This window comes from Homo sapiens, chromosome 3, assembly GCF_000001405.40.
Source record: "Homo sapiens chromosome 3, GRCh38.p14 Primary Assembly".
NCBI lineage: Eukaryota > Metazoa > Chordata > Mammalia > Primates > Hominidae > Homo > Homo sapiens.
Window position 1 is genome coordinate 16,916,193 of NC_000003.12, and position 20,714 is coordinate 16,936,906.

The following is a 20,714-nucleotide window of genomic DNA, read 5'->3' on the forward strand; positions in this document are numbered from 1 at the left end:
AAGAATGTGGAATGTGAAATATAAGACTATTCAGCCCCTTAAAACAATGACTATCCAAATATGTTGCTTTTGAGCTGGTAGTTTCTCACTTATTTTGTTTAAAAAAATATAACATCCTTTGTTGGGTTATAGGTTTCACTGAGGCAGATGGGTTTCTGTAGTGAATTAGTCCCTGCATCTACTGAGAGTATCCTCCCTCCAGCATTAAAGAAGGAAAATAAGAAAATGGCCCATAGCATAGAGGAATGGTCAGGTGGGAAGTAGCTTCTCCTTAAATTATTTCTGATGGAAAAAATATATTCTGGAGCTTGGCATTTGAGTTCAATATTGCCAAAACTCCAGGAATAACTTTCTGCCAAGAGCACCCAGTATGTCAAAGAAAATATTCTAAAAGAAGTAAATTAATACCATCCATGTAAAGAATCAGTGGCATTGTGGCATCAAATGAGTGTGCTTCATATAATGCTATGATCTTTTTAATTAAGAGGAAAAGTCCAAATAATTGATGATGAACATTTACAATTACTTTGATATCAATTACTTAAAGAGACCTAAACCATAAATATATTACAGAATTTTGAAAGATAAAAGATAAAGATAGTTAAAATCCTTGATTTTTCCTCTTTGGTATTCAAGGCTGTATGGTTACTTATATCTTTGGCTTCCTTCTCTCTTTTGTGATCGTACATTATCCATGTGTCATCCTGTACCTCAAAGGGTGGAGGAACAACTTATGTGTTCTTTATCTCCCCACCTCCCCTTGCCTGTGTTCTTTGTCGTACGAGCCCCTGGGAGACTCATAGTTTCCTCAGTAGGTTGCCTGGCAGTAACTGGAGAATGAGATAGCTATGCTATAAAAGGCTCTTCCTTCCCTGGCCCAGCCTTTTCCTGGTACTTAGCCCCTTTCTGTCCTTCACATCCGGATGTACATAGGACACGGTCCCATTTTGTTAAGGACACACATCCTCTGTGTAACAGTGTATTCCTCTTCCTTTCAATTAGAGTCATGTCTGAAGGATCTTTTTAGCTTTCTGGGCTATCTGGTTACCTAACCAATAAATTAGAATAATTAGTCCTATTACTAGGTTCAGCAGTAATGTAGAGTCTTAACAGCTTTTGTTTTAGGTCAAAACATGCTCATTTGGTTACCTACAAACTATATAACAAACCACCTCAAACTTAGTGGCATAGAACAGTGACCATTTTATTATGATCATGAATTCTGTGGGTTGACAGTTTGAACAGGACACATCAGAAATGTCTTGTCTCTGCTCTCTGATGTCTGGGGCTTCAACTAGCTGTGGGGATTCTGATGACTAGAAGCTGGAGGGTTCACTTCCAGGATGGCTTCCATACTCACATGTTGGGTACCTTTGCAGGGATAGCAGGACTGTTGGGCTCAGCTGAGAGTGTCAGCCAGAGTGTCTATGTGTAGCCTCTCCACTCATGATAGTTCCAGATAGTTGGATGTTCCCCAGAGTAAGCCTCCCAGGAGAACTAGATAAAAGCTGCATGGCCTCTTCTGACCTAAGCTTAGAAGTTACACTGAGTCACTTTGACTGCATTCTTTTAGTTACAAGTGATTCATAGACCAGCACTGATTCAGAGAGATGGAAATGAGACCCCACTCCTTGGTGGGGGAGTGGCAGGTGCACACTGAAGAGGATCATGTAGGATGCAATATTGTGGTGGTCATCTTGGGAACTTATGCAAAAGGGAAACTCAGTCATCTTGATGTTTTGATTCCATAATGCCAGACTTCTATTTTCTTATGTGAATCATTCAAATGTCTCATTATTTGAAAATTTGATATTATGTAGAAAAAATTTGGATGAGTACGTGAATATCCCCCTTTTTACCTATGTATATTACCATCTGACAGATAACTTTTGCATGACTGAATCAAAGGAGCACTGTTCAACACAGTCTTGGTTCATACCCTTAATCTGAGAAACTAAAGTAAGGCTGTAAGATTGTGCCAGGTTATTATAAGGAAGAACAGATTATCACTGTGAACTTTACAGTCAGCAAGGCATTTAAACCAGGAAGACAAAAGGAGAGAGATGTTAAAACAATAGATAGTTTTTGTGCTTTATATGAAAATCTCATTTTTTAAGTAGCTGGTTATTGAAAAATTATATATTTATGACAGAGAAGACTTTAACTATTAATCACAAAATTCAATTTGTGTCTCAGTGATAAAGCGATTTCCTCCTTTTCTCCTATTTATGATAGATTTTTATGTATGAAAATGCAATTAATTTCAAAGAATAATAGGTGAGTCTGGGAACCAAATAGGAAAATAGTCTCTTTATGCAATGTATGGAAAGTCCCCTAATGTTAATGGCTATACTGGCTCTAAATAGTATGCCACAGAGAGATGCATTTTGGGGTTTGAACAATAGCTTCATATTACCGTAATAGTTAAGGTGATGGGAAAGAATTATGTTCCACAGGATGTAGAATTACCATAACTTTATGTGTTGAAGGAAAAAGGCTAAGCCAGTATAATGACCTGGGCAAGGACTTGACTTTGCTGGGTCTCAGTTTCTTCATCTATAAAGGGCTGAAACCTCACCTAGTTATATAATTCTTTGATTTTGTTGCTCTTTGTGCTCACATAGCACTGGAATAAAGCAGTCAAAGTTAATGTTAAATATAGGAGTACAAAGGTCATTCAGCTAAGTTTCAGAAAGTTAATAAATCCTAATCACTTTACACTTGACAGCATGTATAAACTTGTATCCACTAATCCCAAAAGTTAAATAGAAGTACTTCAGGAAAACTCTGGATTAAATAAATTATTTAAAAATATATGGACATCATTCTTAAACTTAGAGCAGTTGTTAACCATAATACTTCGTTGTGAAATAGTTTAATTAAAATTTTTAGTTTTATTTGTTTGAACCAAAAAACTGAATTCACTCATTTGGAGCCAAAATTTAAATTACTAAATAATAATTTAATAGGAAATAGTACAGTTGAATTTCTGAAACTTGTTCTTCTGAGTTTAATAGTGCCTTTATATACTAGCTAGTTTGAAGTCTAGGCACTGCATTATTTTTGTACTATTTAGTTATAAGGTATTAGGAATTTGTCCATTTCGCCTACATTTTCAAATTTATTAGCATAATGTTCATCAAATTATCTCGCCTTTTTACAACCCACTGCATATGTAGTTTTGTTCCTCTTTTCCTTACTAGAATTGTTTGTCCTTTTTTACTGATCAGGTATGCCAGAGATTTATCAGTTTCATAATCTTTTTAAGCATTAATTTGTGGCTTTGTTGATTTTATGTATTGTTCTATTGTATCCCTTTTCGGTTTCATTAATTTCTGATGTTATCTTTATTATTTCCATTATCCTTATTTCTTTACTTTTTCTTTCTTTGGGTTTATTCTTTTTGCTATTTTTCTGACTTTTAAAGTTGTGTGCTTAGCTCTTTAATATTTAGCCTTCCACTAGCTTGTGAATTCTGCAGCCTATATAGTTGGCCTACAGAAAAAGTATACTCCTTATGACTGGCCTTTTTTGGAGTCTGGTTGAGGGGACACCTGTTTTCTTGGAGGTGCTTCCCTCAAAGTGAGGAAGAGTCACCTGAGGTATTGGCACATGCATAAGTGTTCTTCTTGGGAATCCTCATTGCAAAGATTCTGTGAACATGGACTTCTGAAATGGTATTTTCTGTAAGCTGTGGGGTCAGAATTAACAAAGCAATTGAAAATTCACTCAGGCAAATTATAGAATAATGAATATCCATATATATACCACATATATGGCATCTGTCTAAAACTTAATCACCAGAGTATAATCTTGTCAACCCCAATTTTATTTTCCTGACTGCCTCTGAGAGTAGAAATCAGTGAGGCAAATATCCTGTGTGTTTTTACACAAATTGAAATTATTTTTCCATAATATTTTGTTAATGGTACTGTTTGTGTTTGTAGTTGAGTTACTTTGACCTCTGAAGCATCTTCCACACTGTTGCATGTAAATGGAACAATAGGTACTTGAGTCACTTGATCATGGATTCCAGATTCTGGAACAGCCTCTTTAGAAGGCAACAGAGGATATTATTTACTGATTTGAGTGGCTTTAGAATATCATTTAACTTTTTAAAATTATATTTATTAGATATGATCTTAATCTTTATATATTTTTCTTTTATAGATGATATAATAAGGCATTATTAGTATTGTATAATTCTCAAGGGTATTCCACATAAATATTTAAAGTTAATTTATAAAAGTTAATTTTATTGCTTACTATGATTATATGATAAATTCTCACTTATTGAGAATCTGAACTGGAAAGGTCAACCAAAAATTTAAAAGCAGATATATAAATTAGGGCGAGAGATAACGAGAGCAAGTGCTTTGAGCCCTGTGAGTGGCTATTACACACTAGCATGGCTATTGATGAGGATGGAGAGGGCCTTTAGGGAGGGCATACTTAAAGAATGCAGGAGTGAAAATGCTTGTATGGTGTTTTAATTCATTTTAAAACTATATTTTCTTCTCATTTAACCATAGGCCACTCAGTTCCTCAAATACTGTGAATAAATAGGATTTTATTGGATTGATAACCACTGTATTACAACCACTACTACGTGAGAATACAAGAAAACAGTTTGAATACTAATTTCTCGCACCAAATCATAATCTATAAATGTGTTTTGGTAATTCCACATTTATAGCTTTCCTTTATTTTTGTCCTTTAAAGGAAGTTTGGTGTGGTAATGGCCATTAAAATTATTTCTCATTTCAATGAAAGTTTGAATTAGGAATTTTATGCAGATGAACAAAACAGATTAAGGCCATTTTTTGAAAAGGTGCTTAACATTTTGACTGAAAAGCATCTTTAAACATTACAAGTTTTATTTTATTTGTGGGCCTAGCTCATATGGTAAGTTTTCCTAAGGGCATGGAGCAAAGCTCTCAGCTTCTTAAGTGTGTTTATAGCAACAAATACATGCTACATGGTAGGGAGAGAGCTAGTCAGATATTTTAGTCATATATTTTTAAAATGGACTGTTCCAGAATAAGGTTGCCTTTGAAAAGAGTCTTTCAAATAATTAGTGTCAAGTAGATTATTTTAGTTTTAATTTAATCATCTGTTTCATCATATAAGAAAGCTTTCAATATCGTGACCAAGGGATTGGGGCGGTCTGATGTATTGGAAATGTGACTTACTTGCTCCAGACACTTTGAGAAAGTGTGAATTGGTGAATCTCACATCCATTCTTGGCAAGCTGATAGAGTATCTAGGAAAGGGTAAGATTATTGAACACATGAGCTGAGAATAATCTTTTGAGGAAAACAGTATCTGGATTTTCCTAAAAGGGGATCTTATTTCAACAGACCTTCAGCATTCTTCAAAAGCTAGGTGAGGATGTGAATGAGAAAAACAGGAGATGTACTGCTCCCTGTATATTGCAACAATGTGAAATAGAAGTATGGCAGACTTTGAGGGAACAAGATTCTAAATTCCCAGAATATCACTAATTTATTTTCATATACCAGTGCAGAATTTTTTTCTGAAGACAGGTGTAAATCATTTTAACATGATCTTTATAACCACCACCTTTCTATTAATCAGGCAATCATCAAGAAAGAATTTGATTGTGAAGGGTCCAGATTGAACTGTTCTTTAAGTAAGGACACAGGAAATATTAAGATAACTGTATGGAAAAATCTCATCCAAGAAACTGGAAGCTATGGGAAAAAGAAAATTAAAGATTCTTTGATTTTAGTAGGTTGGTTGAGTTATACATATTTTTAGCAGAGCAAAAAAAGAGAGAAAAAAGTTGCATGCAACTATTTAAAAAGAATGTGATACAACAAAAGCTATTTTTAATCTATGTCAGGGTAGGAGGAAAATTTATACTTTTTAATAGTTATGAACTTTTAAAATTCGTATGAAGCAGAATCTTTACTGCTAGAAGAATTTGGCTCTGCAGTTTTTGTTATGTTAAAACTTATTCAGGAAGAATTTCAGTATTCAGAATTCAGCACTCTGATTTAGAGTTTTAATAGGAATGCTAAGTCAAACCTATTTTAAGCATATTACCTCCCTCAAAGCTTTAAAACAATTCTGAAATTTTATAAAGGTCTAAAATTGGTAACTTTAAAGATTTAAAATCACTTCATGCTTTTCTAACTGGATGGAACTTTCTTTGATGCATTGTGTCTCAACTCTCATGAAAGATTACTTCCTTTCTCAAAAGAAATCATTCCTAAGATCTCGTAATTCCACCATATATAGCTATGGAGGAGGCCAAATTAGGGAAATATGTCTTCCTATGCATGTATGCATTTGTACTCTTCCTATGCATGTATGCATTTATACTCTTCCTATGCATGTATGCATTTTTAACAGAGGGCTTAGAAACAATATTAGGTGCTGTTGAAGATATCCTGTATGGGATATTTCTGTCAGTATTGTACCAAATATCATAATTGGGAATGAGCAAATGAAACTCTACCTGTGAATGGGCATAGAATACTTTCCTAGCCCATAGTAATAAAAATAAAAATATTATTAAGAAAAAATATATTAAGAAAAAAATAATGTTAGAGACAGCTAAATATACCACCTCAAAAGAGGGTAAAGTACAGGGTTTAATAAAAGACAACCCTTCCCTCACCCACCCTCCATCAAGGCATCCATTAATACCTTGGAGAAACAGAAAAGCTTCTGAAGGCAAAATAGTGCATATGAAACCTTGATTTCCCTATCAATACTTACTGTAAAGGTGAAAAAAAGGATTCATTTGAGAAAACAATAACCCCTCTATAATACATATTTAAAATATAGCAACCTCTTTCTAAGAATGAATTTAAAAGATCACTAAGTATAATAAAATATTTTTAAGTGTCAAAATAAGCTCGGCTCCCCCACAACCACCAACCAGCCATTAAAATGTGATTTGTGTTGGAATACCTGACCAGAGTGACTCAGACTCTACAACATCTAGGGTAGGGGTCTCAGTCTTTTGTCTCCTGTTGGAGGGATAAGGGAGAGCTCAGTCCATAACAGTGGCTGTTCACCACCCTGGTGATTTGAGAGTGGAGGTGGGGGCAGGCAGCTGGTTAGCTGGAGGGCAGGTATCACATCAGGTGATCTAGCAGTGAGGAGAGGGGAAGACGAGGGAGGTTGCAGCACAGCTGCAAAAGGAGCAAGAGAGCAATGACAGCAGAAGGCTGAAGACCAGTGAGAGTGGCCAGGGTTGCACAGGCAGAGGCTTGGATTTCTGCCTGCCATTTCCTCTTGCCCTCTTCAGGGTCTTTAGCACAGCGCCCACCTCTCAATGGACTTTTATTGATAAGGAATTCTATTCTTTCAGACTTTCACTCTTCTTGTGTCAGAAACACCTGGGGGCATGGGGCTTGGTTCATTTGACCTTCATACACTCACATAACCACTTCTGTTAGTACCACCCTTAATTAAACATTATTTTTCATTTGTCATCAGATTTGGGGAGTTTTCAGCCATTATTTCTTCAAATATTCTTTCTGTGCCTTCCTCTCCTTTCATTGTGGAACTCCTATTATGCATATATTGGCATAATTAATGGTGTCCTACCAGTTTCTTAGACTACTCATTTTCCTTCATTTCTTTTTCTTTCTGCTCCTCAGATTGGGTAATCTCAAGTGACCTATCTTCAAGTTTGCTGATTCCTTCTGCTGTTGAGCCCTTCTAGTGAAATTTTCTTTTAAGTTATTATACTTCTCAACTCCAGAATTTCTGTTTGGCTCCCTTTAAAAAGTCATTTTGATCTATTTGTTGATCTTCTCTGTTTGGTAAGACATCATTCTCATGATTTCCTTTAGTTCTTTGTGCACGATTCCCTTTAGCTCTTTGAGTGTATTTAACATGGTTGATTAAAAATCTTTGATTAGTACATCCAATGTGTGGGTTTCCTCAGGCAGTTTTTACTAGTTGCCTTTTTTCCTGTGTATGGGCAATACTTCATCCCTTTGCATACCATGTAGTTTTGTTGAAAACTGTAATTTTTAATATTATAATGTGGCAACTCTGGAAATGAGATTTCCCCCACTCCCCAGGGTTTGTTGCTGCTTATTGTAGTTGTTGTTTTTGATTTGGTTAGTGACATTTCTATACTAATTTTATAAAGTCTATATTCTTTATCATATATGTCCATTGAAGCTTCTGTTCCATTAGCTTAGCAGTCAGTTAGTGATTGACAGAAATTTCCTCAAACACCTGGGACAAAATACCAGAAACAACTCTAGTCTTTGTACTTGGCTTCTGTGTATATGTCGAAACATATTTTAATACTGAACCAGCAGTTTACAACTCTGTCTTAGCCTTCACTTCCTATTTGCACAGACCCTGGAGGTCAGCCAGAGGTGAGAGTTTAGGGGTATCTCAGGTCTTTCCTGAGCATGCACTCGGCCCTAGCAAGTTAACCTTTTCTATATCCTACAGTCACTCTCTGTTGGACTATACCAGTTAAAGGTCATTGGCAGAGAAAATGCAGAGTGATAGATTTCTCCTTTCACTCTATAAGGGCCACTGCCCTGTTTCCAGCAGCACCATGGAGGGTAGTTTACCAGCATTGTTCAGTATAAGTCAGTGATTGCAAATAACCACGATAGTCTTAAAGCAATGATTTTTACTAGGTATTAGAGTATACCTCTAGGTCAGGATTTTAGATTTTATTCAGCTTGATTCCATGTGTATGGAATTTAAATCTACAGAATACAAGTTTGTTTGTTTTTTTTTTGAGATGGAGTCTCGCTCTGTCACCCAGGCTGGAGTGCAGTGGCACAATCTCGGCTCACTGCAACCTCTGCCTCACGGGTTCACACCATTCTCCTGCCTCAGCCTCCCGTGTAGCTGGGACTACAGGTGCCTGCCATCATGCCCCGCTAATTTTTTGTATTTTTAGTAGAGACAGGGTTTCACCATGTTAGCCAGGATGGTCTCAATCTCCTGACCTCGTGATCCGCCCACCTCAGCCTCCCAAAGTGCTGGGATTACAGGCGTGAGCCACCGCGCCCGGCCAGGGTTTTTTTTTTTTTTAATGTAAAATGATTTAGGCCAGTATGGTTAACCAGCATGTACACTTAGAATTCCAAAATTCTGTTTGCACATATATTTATCTTAGCCAGTTCAAGTTATAAACATGAGCTCTATTGCTCATTTTCTTTATTGCTGCTATCTAATGTTTTTAATTTTTTGAGATGCAATTCTCATACCATACAATCTATTTTTTAAGGGCATACAATCCATTAGTTTTATTGTATTTATAGTTATGCAACCATTACCACTATCTAATTGCAGAACACTTTCATGTCTCTTTTCATACCTTGCCCAATCACAGTTACTCCCAGTCCCTGGCAACCACTAAATTACTGTCTCTCTGAATTTGCCTTCCCTAAACATTTTATATAAATGGAATCATACAATATATGGCCTTTTCCAACTGGCTTCTTTCACTTAGCATAATATTTTAAAGGTTCATCCATGTTGCAGCATGTATCAATACTTCATTCCTTTTTATGTCTGAAAAATATTCCATTGTATGGATATGCCACAGTTTATCCATTCATCAGTTAAAGAACATGTGAGTTATTTCTACCTTTTGGCTATTATGGACTATGCTGCTATGATCATTAGTATACAAGTTTTTGTGTGGATGTATATTTTAATTTCTCTTTGGGTATATATCTAGAAGTGGAATTGATGGGTTCTATGGTAACTCTATATTTAGTTTTTTGAAAAACTGTGAGATTGTTTTCTAAAGCAGCCCAATTTGCTTTTAGGTGACAAGTTCAAGTTCACAAAGAAAAGGAGTGGGCCATATTGACTTATACTTCTATAAATGAAATGTTTCAAATGCTGACAATTTGCAAGGAGAATGTCTGCATGAAAACAGTTAAAATTATTATTTTTTTTGATCAGCCTCACCAGAGCTTCTGAGTATTACTGCCATGCCCATCAGAATTAAGTCTTTTGCTGATTCTTCATGATAATTGACATTTCTATTTAATCAGCTTTAAGTTGCTCTCAAACAAACAAAAAAAGCCCATTATTCATAATCAAATGCTCCAGAATCAGACAGATGCAAGGGCTGGCTTTACTACTTCCTAGCAGTGTCACTTTGAGGAATAATGCCTTTTCTTGAAGAAAAACTTCATTTTCCTCCTCTGTAAAGTGGGATTAACAGTATCTACCTCTAGATGTTCCTGTATTAGAATGAGGTCATGTATGCAAAACAGTTGCCTGGCATTTCCTAAGTGCTAAATAAATGTTAACTATTGTTATTATTATTACTGTTATGTCATTATTTAAATGTAATTTTTTGAAAGATAAATAATGTCTTAAAATACTCTCTGAAACTACTTAGAGACAAAGCCTATTTTAATATAGTGATCAGATTTTTCATCTAGCAAACAAAATCATTTATAATCAAAACCTTTTTTTTTTTTGAGACAGAGTCTCCCTCTGTCTCCCACGCTGGAGTGCAGTGGTGCAATCTTGGCTCACTGCAGGCTCTGCCTCCTGGATTCACGCCATTCTCCTGCTTCAGCCTCCCGAGTAGCTGAGACTACAGGCACCCGCCACCATGGTTGGCTAATTTTTTGTATTTTTAGTAGAGACGGTTTCACTGTGTTAGCCAGGATGGTCTCGGTCTCCTGACCTTGTGATCCACCTGCCTTGGCCTCCCAAAGTGCTAGGATTACAGATGTAAGCCACCGCGCCCGGCCACATTTTTTTTTAAGGCTAAGGAAGAACGGGAAGTGGGTGGCTGAAAAAAATCAATTAAAAATATTTATTTGCTAGTTATTCATTTTGTCCTTGATATGTATTTAATTTAAAGCAATTTATTTTTCTTTTCTTTCTTCCCTGAAGCAAATGTAATTTGAACACAGACTAATTTTTTTTATAGCTAAAGTGAAATGTTAAACAAAATCGTCATCCCTTTTAGCACTACCTTTAAGTTATTCTTTACGGAAGAACTGGGTAAACCCTTCACAGAATGTTTGCAAAACACCTGATGCACAATATGGTGTAAACTGTCACATTTCTCTTTAATTTTTTAATAGTGACCAAAGTGAATATTTTTCCAGTGATTGCTCCATAATATTATGCTACAAATGTGTTGTAAATAAAAGATTGATAATAAAATACAAAAAAAAATGAAATAAACAATAGAAGACAAATATGACAATAGGCAAGAATGGTTAGCAAACATTCTGATCAAACCTTTTTTGTTAGTTTAAAAGGAATGCATCATTGCTTAGTCTTTGTTCTAAATGAGATGTCCCATTATCTGTATCTGGGGCATGAACAAGTTTTTATGGCTTGGTGGCATCAGAAGTTTAAGAGCTGGAAGGGACTTTGGTTGTAAAGGTTGGTCTAGCACAGGGTTTCTCAGCCTGGGCACCATTGACAATTTTGCATTGATAATTATTTGTTGTGGGGGCTGTTCTGTGCATTGTAGGATGTAGGCTCTACCCACTAGATGTCAGTAGTGCAGGGTTCCCCCTACCTGCCTGTTTCCCCCGCCCCCACCACACACAATGAGAACCACTGATCTGGGGTTTGCCAAAGTGTACACTCCATGGAGCACCACTCATGTTGGAGGGGCTGGGATACTCCAGGAAAATATTCTGTTGTCAAATAAGTTTGGGAAACCCTTATTTAGACAACAGCAAAAAATTGTCAGAGCTTTCAATGTGATATCTAAAGTGAATTGCCAAGAGGCGAACATGCAGCATGTTTCAGCTTATTTGACAGCAGCCCGTTTTTCAAAGGCAGCTTGCAGGATGGAACATACTCCCATTCCTGTGCTCCAACTCTCATTTTCCAGGTGAGGAAATTGAGGTCTAGGGAGGTTACATGACCAGCCAAAGGCTCTGCATTACCTAATTTCATAATTGCTGTGTGAGCATGTACTGCATGCTAGCTCCTATGTTAGGCACTGGGGAGGCAATGGTGATACACAGGATAGGCAGATGGACCCAGTAACTACAACACAATGTGGTTAGTGCTAGGAGGGAGGCCCTCCAAGAGGCTGAGAGAGCATCTCAGAATGGGCACTTCATTCACATTGAGTAGATGAGCTGAGTCCATGTTGTACATGTTTTAGCTGAGACATCTGTGGAGGTAGACCAGTTTGGGAGACCAGGCAGTAGAATGCCTACAGAGGCCGATTTTGCATTTCTGTGTATAATAATTGAGGCAAGGGACTGTATGAGAGTCCTCCAGGGATGAGAAGCTTAGGGTAGAACCTTGGGGAAATCCATGTTTAAGGGTGCACCGAGGAAGAGCAGCCCCAGATAGAGACCAAGAAGGACATAGGAGAAAGTACAGAGCCAGGCAAAGGGTGCAGTCTGATGCTGCAGAGAGGAAGCTGCAACCTGCAGGGTTGAGGGCCTGGGCTCTGGAGCTGAGCTAGAGTTTGAATCCTAACTGCCTAGCTTGCAGGTTGTGTGATATTTGTCACCTGTTGTATTACTTTGCAAAGGCTCAATTTATAAAAGCAGTATAATTGTAAAGCCTACTTCATCTACTTGTTGTGAAGCCTAGCTAAAGTATGAGAAGTATGGAGTACCATGCTTGGCATATAAGAAATGCTTAGTAAATATTCGGTGATGCTATCCTTATTATTATCAAATGACATGAGGACTCAGAAACATTCATGAATTTGCTTCTTGGAGGTTGTGGGTGACCTTGGCAAAAATCCATTTCAGCGGAGGGACAGATGGTTTGAGAGTGAGTGGGAAGTGAAACGTAGAGGCTGTGAGTTTAGAATTTTCTCAAGGTTAGTTGTGAATGGGATTGGGCAGGGGGGTGGTGGTGATTGCTGCACAAGAGACTTGGAATTTGAGTGCTGGCTTTGAACGTACACCACAGCCGCAGCATAGAGAAGAGTAATTCTGAGCGGTGAGGATACCTGCGCAGAAATGATGATGATGATACTAAGCACAGGAGTGAGAGACAACTAGGAAACCAAGGATCGTGGGAGAGAGGGGAGGAGGGAATGGGCTACAGGGAGGAGGAAAGAAACTGCTCTGCACTAGGACTTGTCTCAGAGCCTATAGAGGCTACCAGAGTTAAGATTTGTAGGTTCCTGAAAATGAGAGTTTAGTGGACCATTTTGACCTTCTCTCCATAATGACAACATATTTTTAAATCCTGAAAGGCAAGAAAAGAGGTTTCCCAAAAAGACTTCTGGGAAGGCGGGCAGGAATCAGAGCTTCCTGGTGAAGTTATCAGACACTCTGGGAGTTGGCTTGGAATGCATACTCAACTCACTTTGCAATCATTCTTAACTTTTAGAGAAAGCCTCCCAAATCTAACTTTATTGAACAGCAGCCATTGGCTCTCTTCCTGATTTCTCTGTGCACAGATAGAACTTCCAGCATCTCCTCCTTTTCTGCTGACCGTTGATGTGCTGTTTTTCTGACCAGGAATAGCAAACTTTCCTCTTTCCCAGTCTCCTGTACTGGGCAGGAGGATTTCTCACCATCTCCAAATCTTGGAGGCCTGGGGAAGTTGAGTCCTTCTGAAACTTGAAGAAAGGAGAATTCTCTCTGTATCCTGACATAGGAACTATTTGAGTATGAAGAAGGTGCTGCATGCATACATTCAAAGGAACTAGTGAATAGCTGGCATGCATTTTGATACTGTGCTAATTGGTAGCCCTGAGGTCTTTGGGCTTTGTTTATAGACTTCTCCCAAGACCCTCCAAGTAAGGCCTGCATGTTACTTCTCACAGGCTCTCAGAGAGTCTTGGGAAGACAGAGGCCTCTCTTTTAGACATGGAGAAGTATCGTGGGAGGTGAGTTGCCCAAGGACACACAAGACTCCTGTGACTTTCAAGTTAGAGTGGTATTGTGCAGCCAGAATTCGCCTGGCATGGCTTCTGTCTCAGAACCTAGAACAGTGCTCTTCTGCAGTAAAGATTCCTAGTTTATTCCCTTTTCTCTTAGTATAAAACATTTAATGTGGGTTAGAGTATGTTTTTTATTATTTCTCCATTTAACTTGAGAAAGCAACCTCATGGGTTCATATTTTTGTTTCCCTCATTTTAAAGACAGGCGAGATTTCACGAGTAGATGAAAGAACACCCAAATTTGAGGGAGCGTTCCAAGTTCATAAATACTTGTGGCTGAGAGAAAACAATGGCCCTCCCTCAAATACTGCAGGGAAGAACCAGTATTGGGAACAGCTGTGTTTGAAAGTCTCCTAATTGTTATTTATTCTATCTGTAGATCTATAGTCCAACCAATGTATGAATAGGACCTTTGCTGATTATATCTCTGTTTTGATCAGAACTGCTATAAATGAAAGAGTTGTAGTGTACTGTTTTCTTAAACTCCTAGGGTTTTACCACAAATCAGAGTTGTTTCTTGTGATACAGCCTTCTTCAGCCTCTGTTCGTCTCTAAGAAATTGAACCTAGAGTAGTAAACAAGTGATACTTCTGTAAACTCCCTAAGGGATGACTCCTCAGTTCTGTGAACCCCATCATCCCTCCTAATCTCAAGTCGCTTATTTTCTTATGCTTTGTGGAGCTCTCCTACAAGCACCTGAACTCCAGCATGTCCCAAATGTTATTCATGATTTTCTCCTTAAGTCTGCTGCTCCTGCATGAGTTCCTATGTCCATTAATGACATTCTTTATGACACAAGCAAGAAATCTTGGCACCATCTTTATCTCCCGTTTTGCTAACTCCCGTGTACATTTGACTACTCCATTTTCCAAGATGATATTCTAGGCATGTCAGTCTTCTATTTTTTCCTCTGTAAAGGCAGGTAGTAGGGTAGGATCCATATCTGTAACTCCAATGCCTTCTGCTTGGAAGATAATGCTTCCTGCTGGCCAGTTCCCATTCCTCAGCCCAAATACTACATCCTTGGCAAGCCATTCCTCTCTGAACCTCCTTCCCAGGAAGATGCATTCACTTCTTCCTCTGGATTGCCATTTATTTTTTTTTTTAACTCTAATGCTCATGAAACTTTGTGGTAAAATTTTATTTGAAGGTCTGGCTCTTCTGCTACATTCTGAGATCTTTGAGAGTAGGAACCCAGATTGTACTTAGATCCGTGTCTGGCACATATGTAAGCACAAAAGCTATTGACTATATTTAAGTGACTTGAATTAGAAAAAGATGTATGAAATAGAAGAGGAACAATTAAATGCTTATTTGTATTTGATCTCATTTTAGTCTTTTTCTCTTCCCATTTCATTCTCTCCTCTCCCTTAGAAAAAAAGCACGTAAATGTTCTGTTCCTATAAAAACAATTTAAATAGAGACTTTCTTTATCAGCAGACAGAATAACCTGGTTGCATTGTCAATGTTCTGTCTAAATGAAGTTTAACTAACAACTGTTGCCTTTAAGGGATAGAAAAGAAAACCTCACAAATATTATTTATAGAGAACATGCATTGGTCTTAGAGTCTGAGGGTCCAGGTTCCAGTTCGGTTGCTGCCATTTATTACGTGAATGACCCCAGGCAAGTCTCTTTTTTTAAGGTTCAGTTTTCTCCCTTGCAATGAGAATAACACCTCCCTGACAAGGTTATTTTAAGAACTTGATGAGATGTTGGATATGAAAGCATCTTGTATAGGTAAGACACTAAGTTCTGACATAGAATAAACTTATGATTGCATGTTTGTATCCCTGCAAAATTCATACATTGAGATACAATCCCCAGTGTGATGATTTGAGATAATTAGGTCATGAAGGAGGAGCCCTCATGAATGGGATTAGTGCCCTTATAAGAAGAGGCCAGAGAGCTAGCTCACTGTCTTTCTGCCATGTGAAGATATAAGGAAAAGGTGGCCATCTGCAGCCTGGAGAGGGCCCTCACCAGAACCCGACCACACTGGCACCCTGATCTCACACTTCCAGCCTTCAGAACTGTGAGAAACAAATTTATGTTGTTTTAAGCTACCAGTCTATGGTAATTCGTTATGGCTGCCAGAATTAGGATAGCTCTTAATTTTTAGTTGAATCTGAATTTATATGTATTTCTTAGGCCTGGATTTGAAAACCATTCTGCTATGTGGTTTAGGTAGTATCAGCTGTTAGCATACGCATTGTCTCAAGGACTAACTTTTCAATATCTATCTTTATTTCAGGTTAGTAACATCCTTTGTTTGGGAATAACATGCATATTATTTCATCTGATGTTTTCCTAAGACAATTAGATTGAATTTTTTTCTTCTCACTTAAGCATTTTGGAGTACCATTAGTCCTCTTCCATGTCTTAGATAATATTGAATTCAGGGTGTACTTTTAAAAATCTTGGTAGTTAAATTTAGCAGTTTTGTTTGGAGGTATTTATTTTCATCTTGGTAATAAGACAAGAAGTAAGATGTTTCATAATTACCATATTTTGTTTGGGATTTCTGCTGAATTTTCTCTCTCTCCATTGCAGTTCTCTTTTTGGAGAGGTCCTTCTCTCTACAGCCATATGCTGGTAGATAATGCACGGTAGCTGATCAGTGCTAGAAAATACAGGAGATCCAGAGCATATTACTCCCTTGAACGTATCTTTTAGCTGCAGGGAAAACAGATCTAAGGCATGAATTACAACTTATTAGTTGTAGATGGACTCTGTAGCCCAGTACTGATTAAGAAGAAACAGCCTCACTCTGTCTTGCCATGATGGCTGTTCCAAGTCAAAGGAAAAGGAGAAGTCTGTTGGAGAAGATTTTCTTTCTTTTTTCCTTCTTCTTCTTTTCTTTAGTTCATCCATTCATTTATTTTCTAATATTATGGGACACAAAAGCAGAATTTGTAGTTAGTACTCTTGGCTGTAGAAATTCGTAGTTTTGCTTTTCCTTTAAGGTTGATTCCAGCACCACTTTGTGAGAAGAAACTGTCATAGTTTCACATTGCCTCTAAGAAAATGAAACGTACCTAAGTATTATTGGACAGCCGGAGTATTTTACAGTGGTTGCTGCTCAGGAAATTTGAGTGAAGGACTGCAAAAGAGGAGCAAAGCAGACCCGAGAGAGAAGGCAGCAGTGCTCCCCTGTGACGTGCTCCATCACCGGGCAGGGAAGACACCGCTGCCACCTCTCCACAGCCTTGTTCAAGAGCACTGGAAATTGTAAGGTGTTTGTTTTGTTTCATTTTGGGAGTGGTGGAAGATTAGCCTTTGTGTTTCTCCTCTAAAGAGTTTTGTCTAAAACGCTTACGACTACTTAGTTAAACAAAAATCCAAAGTAAGCTATCATTGAAATATGAAATATACTAACAAAGCCAAACAGTAAAAGATTATACAGGGAAAGTCCTTTCTCCCCATTTTGACTTCACCCACTCAGTTTCCCTTCCCAGTGTCCTTCCAGAGAGATATTTGACTCATGAATCAGCACATATATTCATATGCCTGCTTTTTCATACACTGTAGCAGCATACTAGAATATTGTTCAGCATTTTTATTTCTTTTTTTTTTAACCTTACACTATTTCCTGATGTTTTCCAAGTAAATGTTTTATTTTTTTTCTTATGGTTGTGTAGTATACATCCATTGTGTAGATGGATGTGTAAAGTACACATCCATTGTATAGATGTGTAATTTATTTAGCCAGTTTCTTGAGGAATATTTAGGTGTGGTGGCTCATGTCTGTAATCCCAGCTCTCTTGGAGGCTGAGGGGGGCAGATCACCTGAGGTCAGGAGTTCGAGACCAGCTTGGCCAACATGGTGAAACCTGTCTCTACTAAAAATACAGAAATTAGCCGGGCATGATGGTGGGTGCCTGTAATCCCAGCTACTCAGGAGGCGGAGGCAGGAGAATCGCTTGAACCCAGGAGGCGGAGGTTGCAGTGAGCCCAGATTGCACCACTGCACTCCAGCCTGAACGACAGAGTGAGACTGTCTCAAAAACAAACGAACAAAAAAGTCTTGGTGTATGAATAAGGAAAGGAGCCCTAGATATTGGGCATGCAAAGGCTTTTGTGTTCTCTGAAAAGGTCATGCAATGATAGAAGTGACCCGAGACACCTGTAAACTGATGACCCACAGTTAAATCCACATAATGTGGCCAGTGCTGTGGTTTTGGGTAAGTGCAGGATGCTGTGGACAGTGGGTGCCTAAGAGCTACATTTCACTCAAGTGCTGGAGAAGCAGGAGAGATTGACCCTAAGGAAGTTCCTGCTAAGCTGAGCCCTGGAGAATGTGAGGAACATAGGTTAGGAAAGGGTAGAATAGTGTGAGGAACTGTGTTCTAGGAGAGGGAACACCAGCATGCCCAGAGATCATCATGGCCCGTTTGAGCTTCAGAAGTGTATCTGTTGGCAGTCTGGAGAGGAGACTGGCAAGGTAATCAGGCATTGGAATCACCGTAGCTCTCCATAAGTGTCAAGGAGGTTGGACATAAGGCTATGGGAGGCCAGTGAAGACCTTTATCAGGAGTGGGAGGTTATTTGATTTGTGTTTAAAAATCTCATCCTGCCTGCCAGGTGGAGAGTAAACCGGAAAGGGATGGGATGCTATGTAGGAAGCTGTTGCAGTAATCCAAGTGAAAGGTGATGGTGGCCTGAACTAGGAAATGGCAGTGCAACTAGGAAGAAGTAGACACAGAAGAGCTCTTCAGACAGTGGAATCAACAGGAGTTAGCAATTTTGAGACGTGGGCATGGAGGCAGAGACCCTCAGCCCTCTGGTTGTTCACTTTTAACAAAAAGATTATGTGCAATGCATTTAACATATTATTCTTGCATCTTTATGAAACCATCCTCATTATTTCTTTTGGACAAATCCTGGAAGTAGACTTGCTGAGTCAAAGGAAAGATCTTGAAATATTTCAATAATGTAGTCAAATTGCCTCCAGAAAGGCTAATACGCCAATTGTCCATTACCAATTAGGGCACTAGCTTCAGCCTCACTGAGTATTATCGCTTTGAATTGACACCAATCTGATAGGAAGAAAATACATACCTTTTCTTTATTTTAATTTGCATTTCTGTGAGTACTGGCAAAGTTGAAGTTTTTTTCATGCTTATCAACTAATTATATTTCCACAAATTACATATTCATATCTTTGCTTATTTTCCCCCTGAGGTGTTTATCTTTGTCTTTTTTATTTCTAAGAGCTCTATTACTCTTTAGTTGCTTAACCCTTTGTCTTTTCTATTTGTTGCAGGATTTCTCTCATTTATTTATGCTTTTGTTTATATTTTGTTGATCAGAAAGTTTTTTAATGTAATAAAATATTTTGTTCATGCTTTATGCCTGTAGTTCAGTGTGAAGAAAATTCTTCCTCAACCCCAGGTTGAGGTATAAATAGTGGGATTTTTATAAATATTCACATTTATTTTCATTTTTTACCTTCGGGTCTTTAATTCATCCGGAATTTTCGGATATGTGTTGTAGGAATCTATCTCTTTTTGATCGGAATAATAATTTTTTTTTCTGAACCAAAAATCGGGACAACCTAGTCTATGTAACAAATAATTTTTATGCATTTGTGTGGCAGAAGCAGTTTTAGAGAGTAATAATATTGGAATTTCTGGGACATTTGATGTTATATATGTTGATAGATTATAGAGAGATAAGATTTAAGGACTAATACTTATACCTGGGCAACATCAGGGAACCTGTGCCATTGCTAAAAAATAAAAAAAGAAAGAATGGCTCCCAACACCCATTCAGAATAGAATGTTTGAAATCCAGAGTGCATGAGAAAGTTCAGGATCCAGATTGTAAAATATTGCCAATGGTTTATGTAGTGCAACCTGCATTTCACTGATAGCTCATGTTATCCTTCCTATTTGAAACACTAGTTAACATCAAAATGACTTTTCAGGTCCGTGGTGGCTCTAATCTTTGTATGTTGGTAGGTTCCTTTCTAGGCAGAACATCCAAAGACAACCCATTCTCTTGAGGCCATCAGAACAAGATCAAAGGTTGTAGAGCCTTGACCACAGTATTAAAGCAAAGCCTCAAAATGACTTAAGGAATCTTAGGAAATAAAATGCCACAGTCCTGGACATTTATCATTTGGCAGCAAGCTAAACATTTCCTAAAACTTTTACAAGTAATTTAGGTACCTAATGGAAATTTTTTGTTTTTAAATTCTGGAGTTGCCTAAATTGTTTAGGAGAAATTTAGCTGGAATCTGGCGATAGGACTGTTTATATGTGCTTGGCTCAGGGTGGCTGTGTTGTCCACATTAGCATGACCATGGGCTCCTTATCGAAGCCCTGGTTCCCAGTAAGTGCTGTTTGCAAGAGTGAGGTGGAGTTTGGTGGCTTTCAGGCCACCCAGAGTGCCATGTGTATCTGTTTGATAAACTCTGTGGTTTGTCTGTTCTCTGTGTTTTTGCCAGATTGTTTAAAAAAAAAAGAAAGAAAGAAAAAGCAAACAAGCAGGCATCATATGTTAAAAGTTTATCTTTCTACATGAATTTTTGGAAAATCTAAGTGTAATTTTATTCCTGAAAGAACAAAAAGTTGTTTCCCTGGGGAGATAATTTTGGGGTGCATAGATATTTTTAAGGCTGTAGATATTAACTATGAAAATAATATATAACTTTGTCAATACTTTTTTTTCAGCAGGCTAAGCCATATTTTTTCAAAAAAACGAGGCTGGAATCAACTACTCTTGGCATATCAGAGATCAGGAAAAAATGGGTATTGGAAGCCATTCTTTTTTTTCTTCATGACAGCACAGGCTTTCTGATGTTGTCCAGGTGTACGTATTAACCCTTCAATCTTATCTTTA

The 20,714-nt window shown here is 37.9% G+C and overlaps 1 protein-coding gene and 1 non-coding gene across 6 annotated transcripts in view, besides 3 other annotated features; both read left to right on the top strand.

The window, feature by feature from the left end:
* The window catches only part of PLCL2 (phospholipase C like 2), a 205,652-nt gene that overhangs the window by 31,238 nt on the left and 153,700 nt on the right, over positions 1–20,714 (top strand). Inside the window, exon 1 of one of the 5 annotated variants that reach the window (XM_047447799.1) lies at positions 1–20,684. This exon is cut by the window's left edge and continues 17,205 nt beyond it. The exons of 3 other annotated variants lie outside the window; for them this stretch is intronic. In XM_047447799.1, coding sequence (XP_047303755.1) covers positions 20,672–20,684 — 13 coding nt within the window. In that variant the 5' untranslated portion in view covers positions 1–20,671. The remainder of the gene's footprint in view (positions 20,685–20,714) is intronic. One more of the 5 variants, NM_015184.5, reaches the window with a different exon arrangement.
* Positions 1,248–1,347: a silencer, noted in NCBI's record as "silent region_14122". NCBI's record gives its function as "represses an Ori minimal core promoter by ATAC-STARR-seq in GM12878 lymphoblastoid cells {active_cell/tissue: GM12878}" and the evidence as "EXISTENCE:reporter gene assay evidence [ECO:0000049][PMID:35858748]".
* Positions 11,988–12,237: an enhancer, noted in NCBI's record as "active region_19558". NCBI's record gives its function as "activates an Ori minimal core promoter by ATAC-STARR-seq in GM12878 lymphoblastoid cells {active_cell/tissue: GM12878}" and the evidence as "EXISTENCE:reporter gene assay evidence [ECO:0000049][PMID:35858748]".
* Positions 12,298–12,457: an enhancer, noted in NCBI's record as "active region_19559". NCBI's record gives its function as "activates an Ori minimal core promoter by ATAC-STARR-seq in GM12878 lymphoblastoid cells {active_cell/tissue: GM12878}" and the evidence as "EXISTENCE:reporter gene assay evidence [ECO:0000049][PMID:35858748]".
* Positions 17,004–17,068, top strand: MIR3714 (microRNA 3714). The gene has a single exon (NR_037465.1). It is a non-coding gene; the product is annotated as a microRNA 3714 (primary transcript).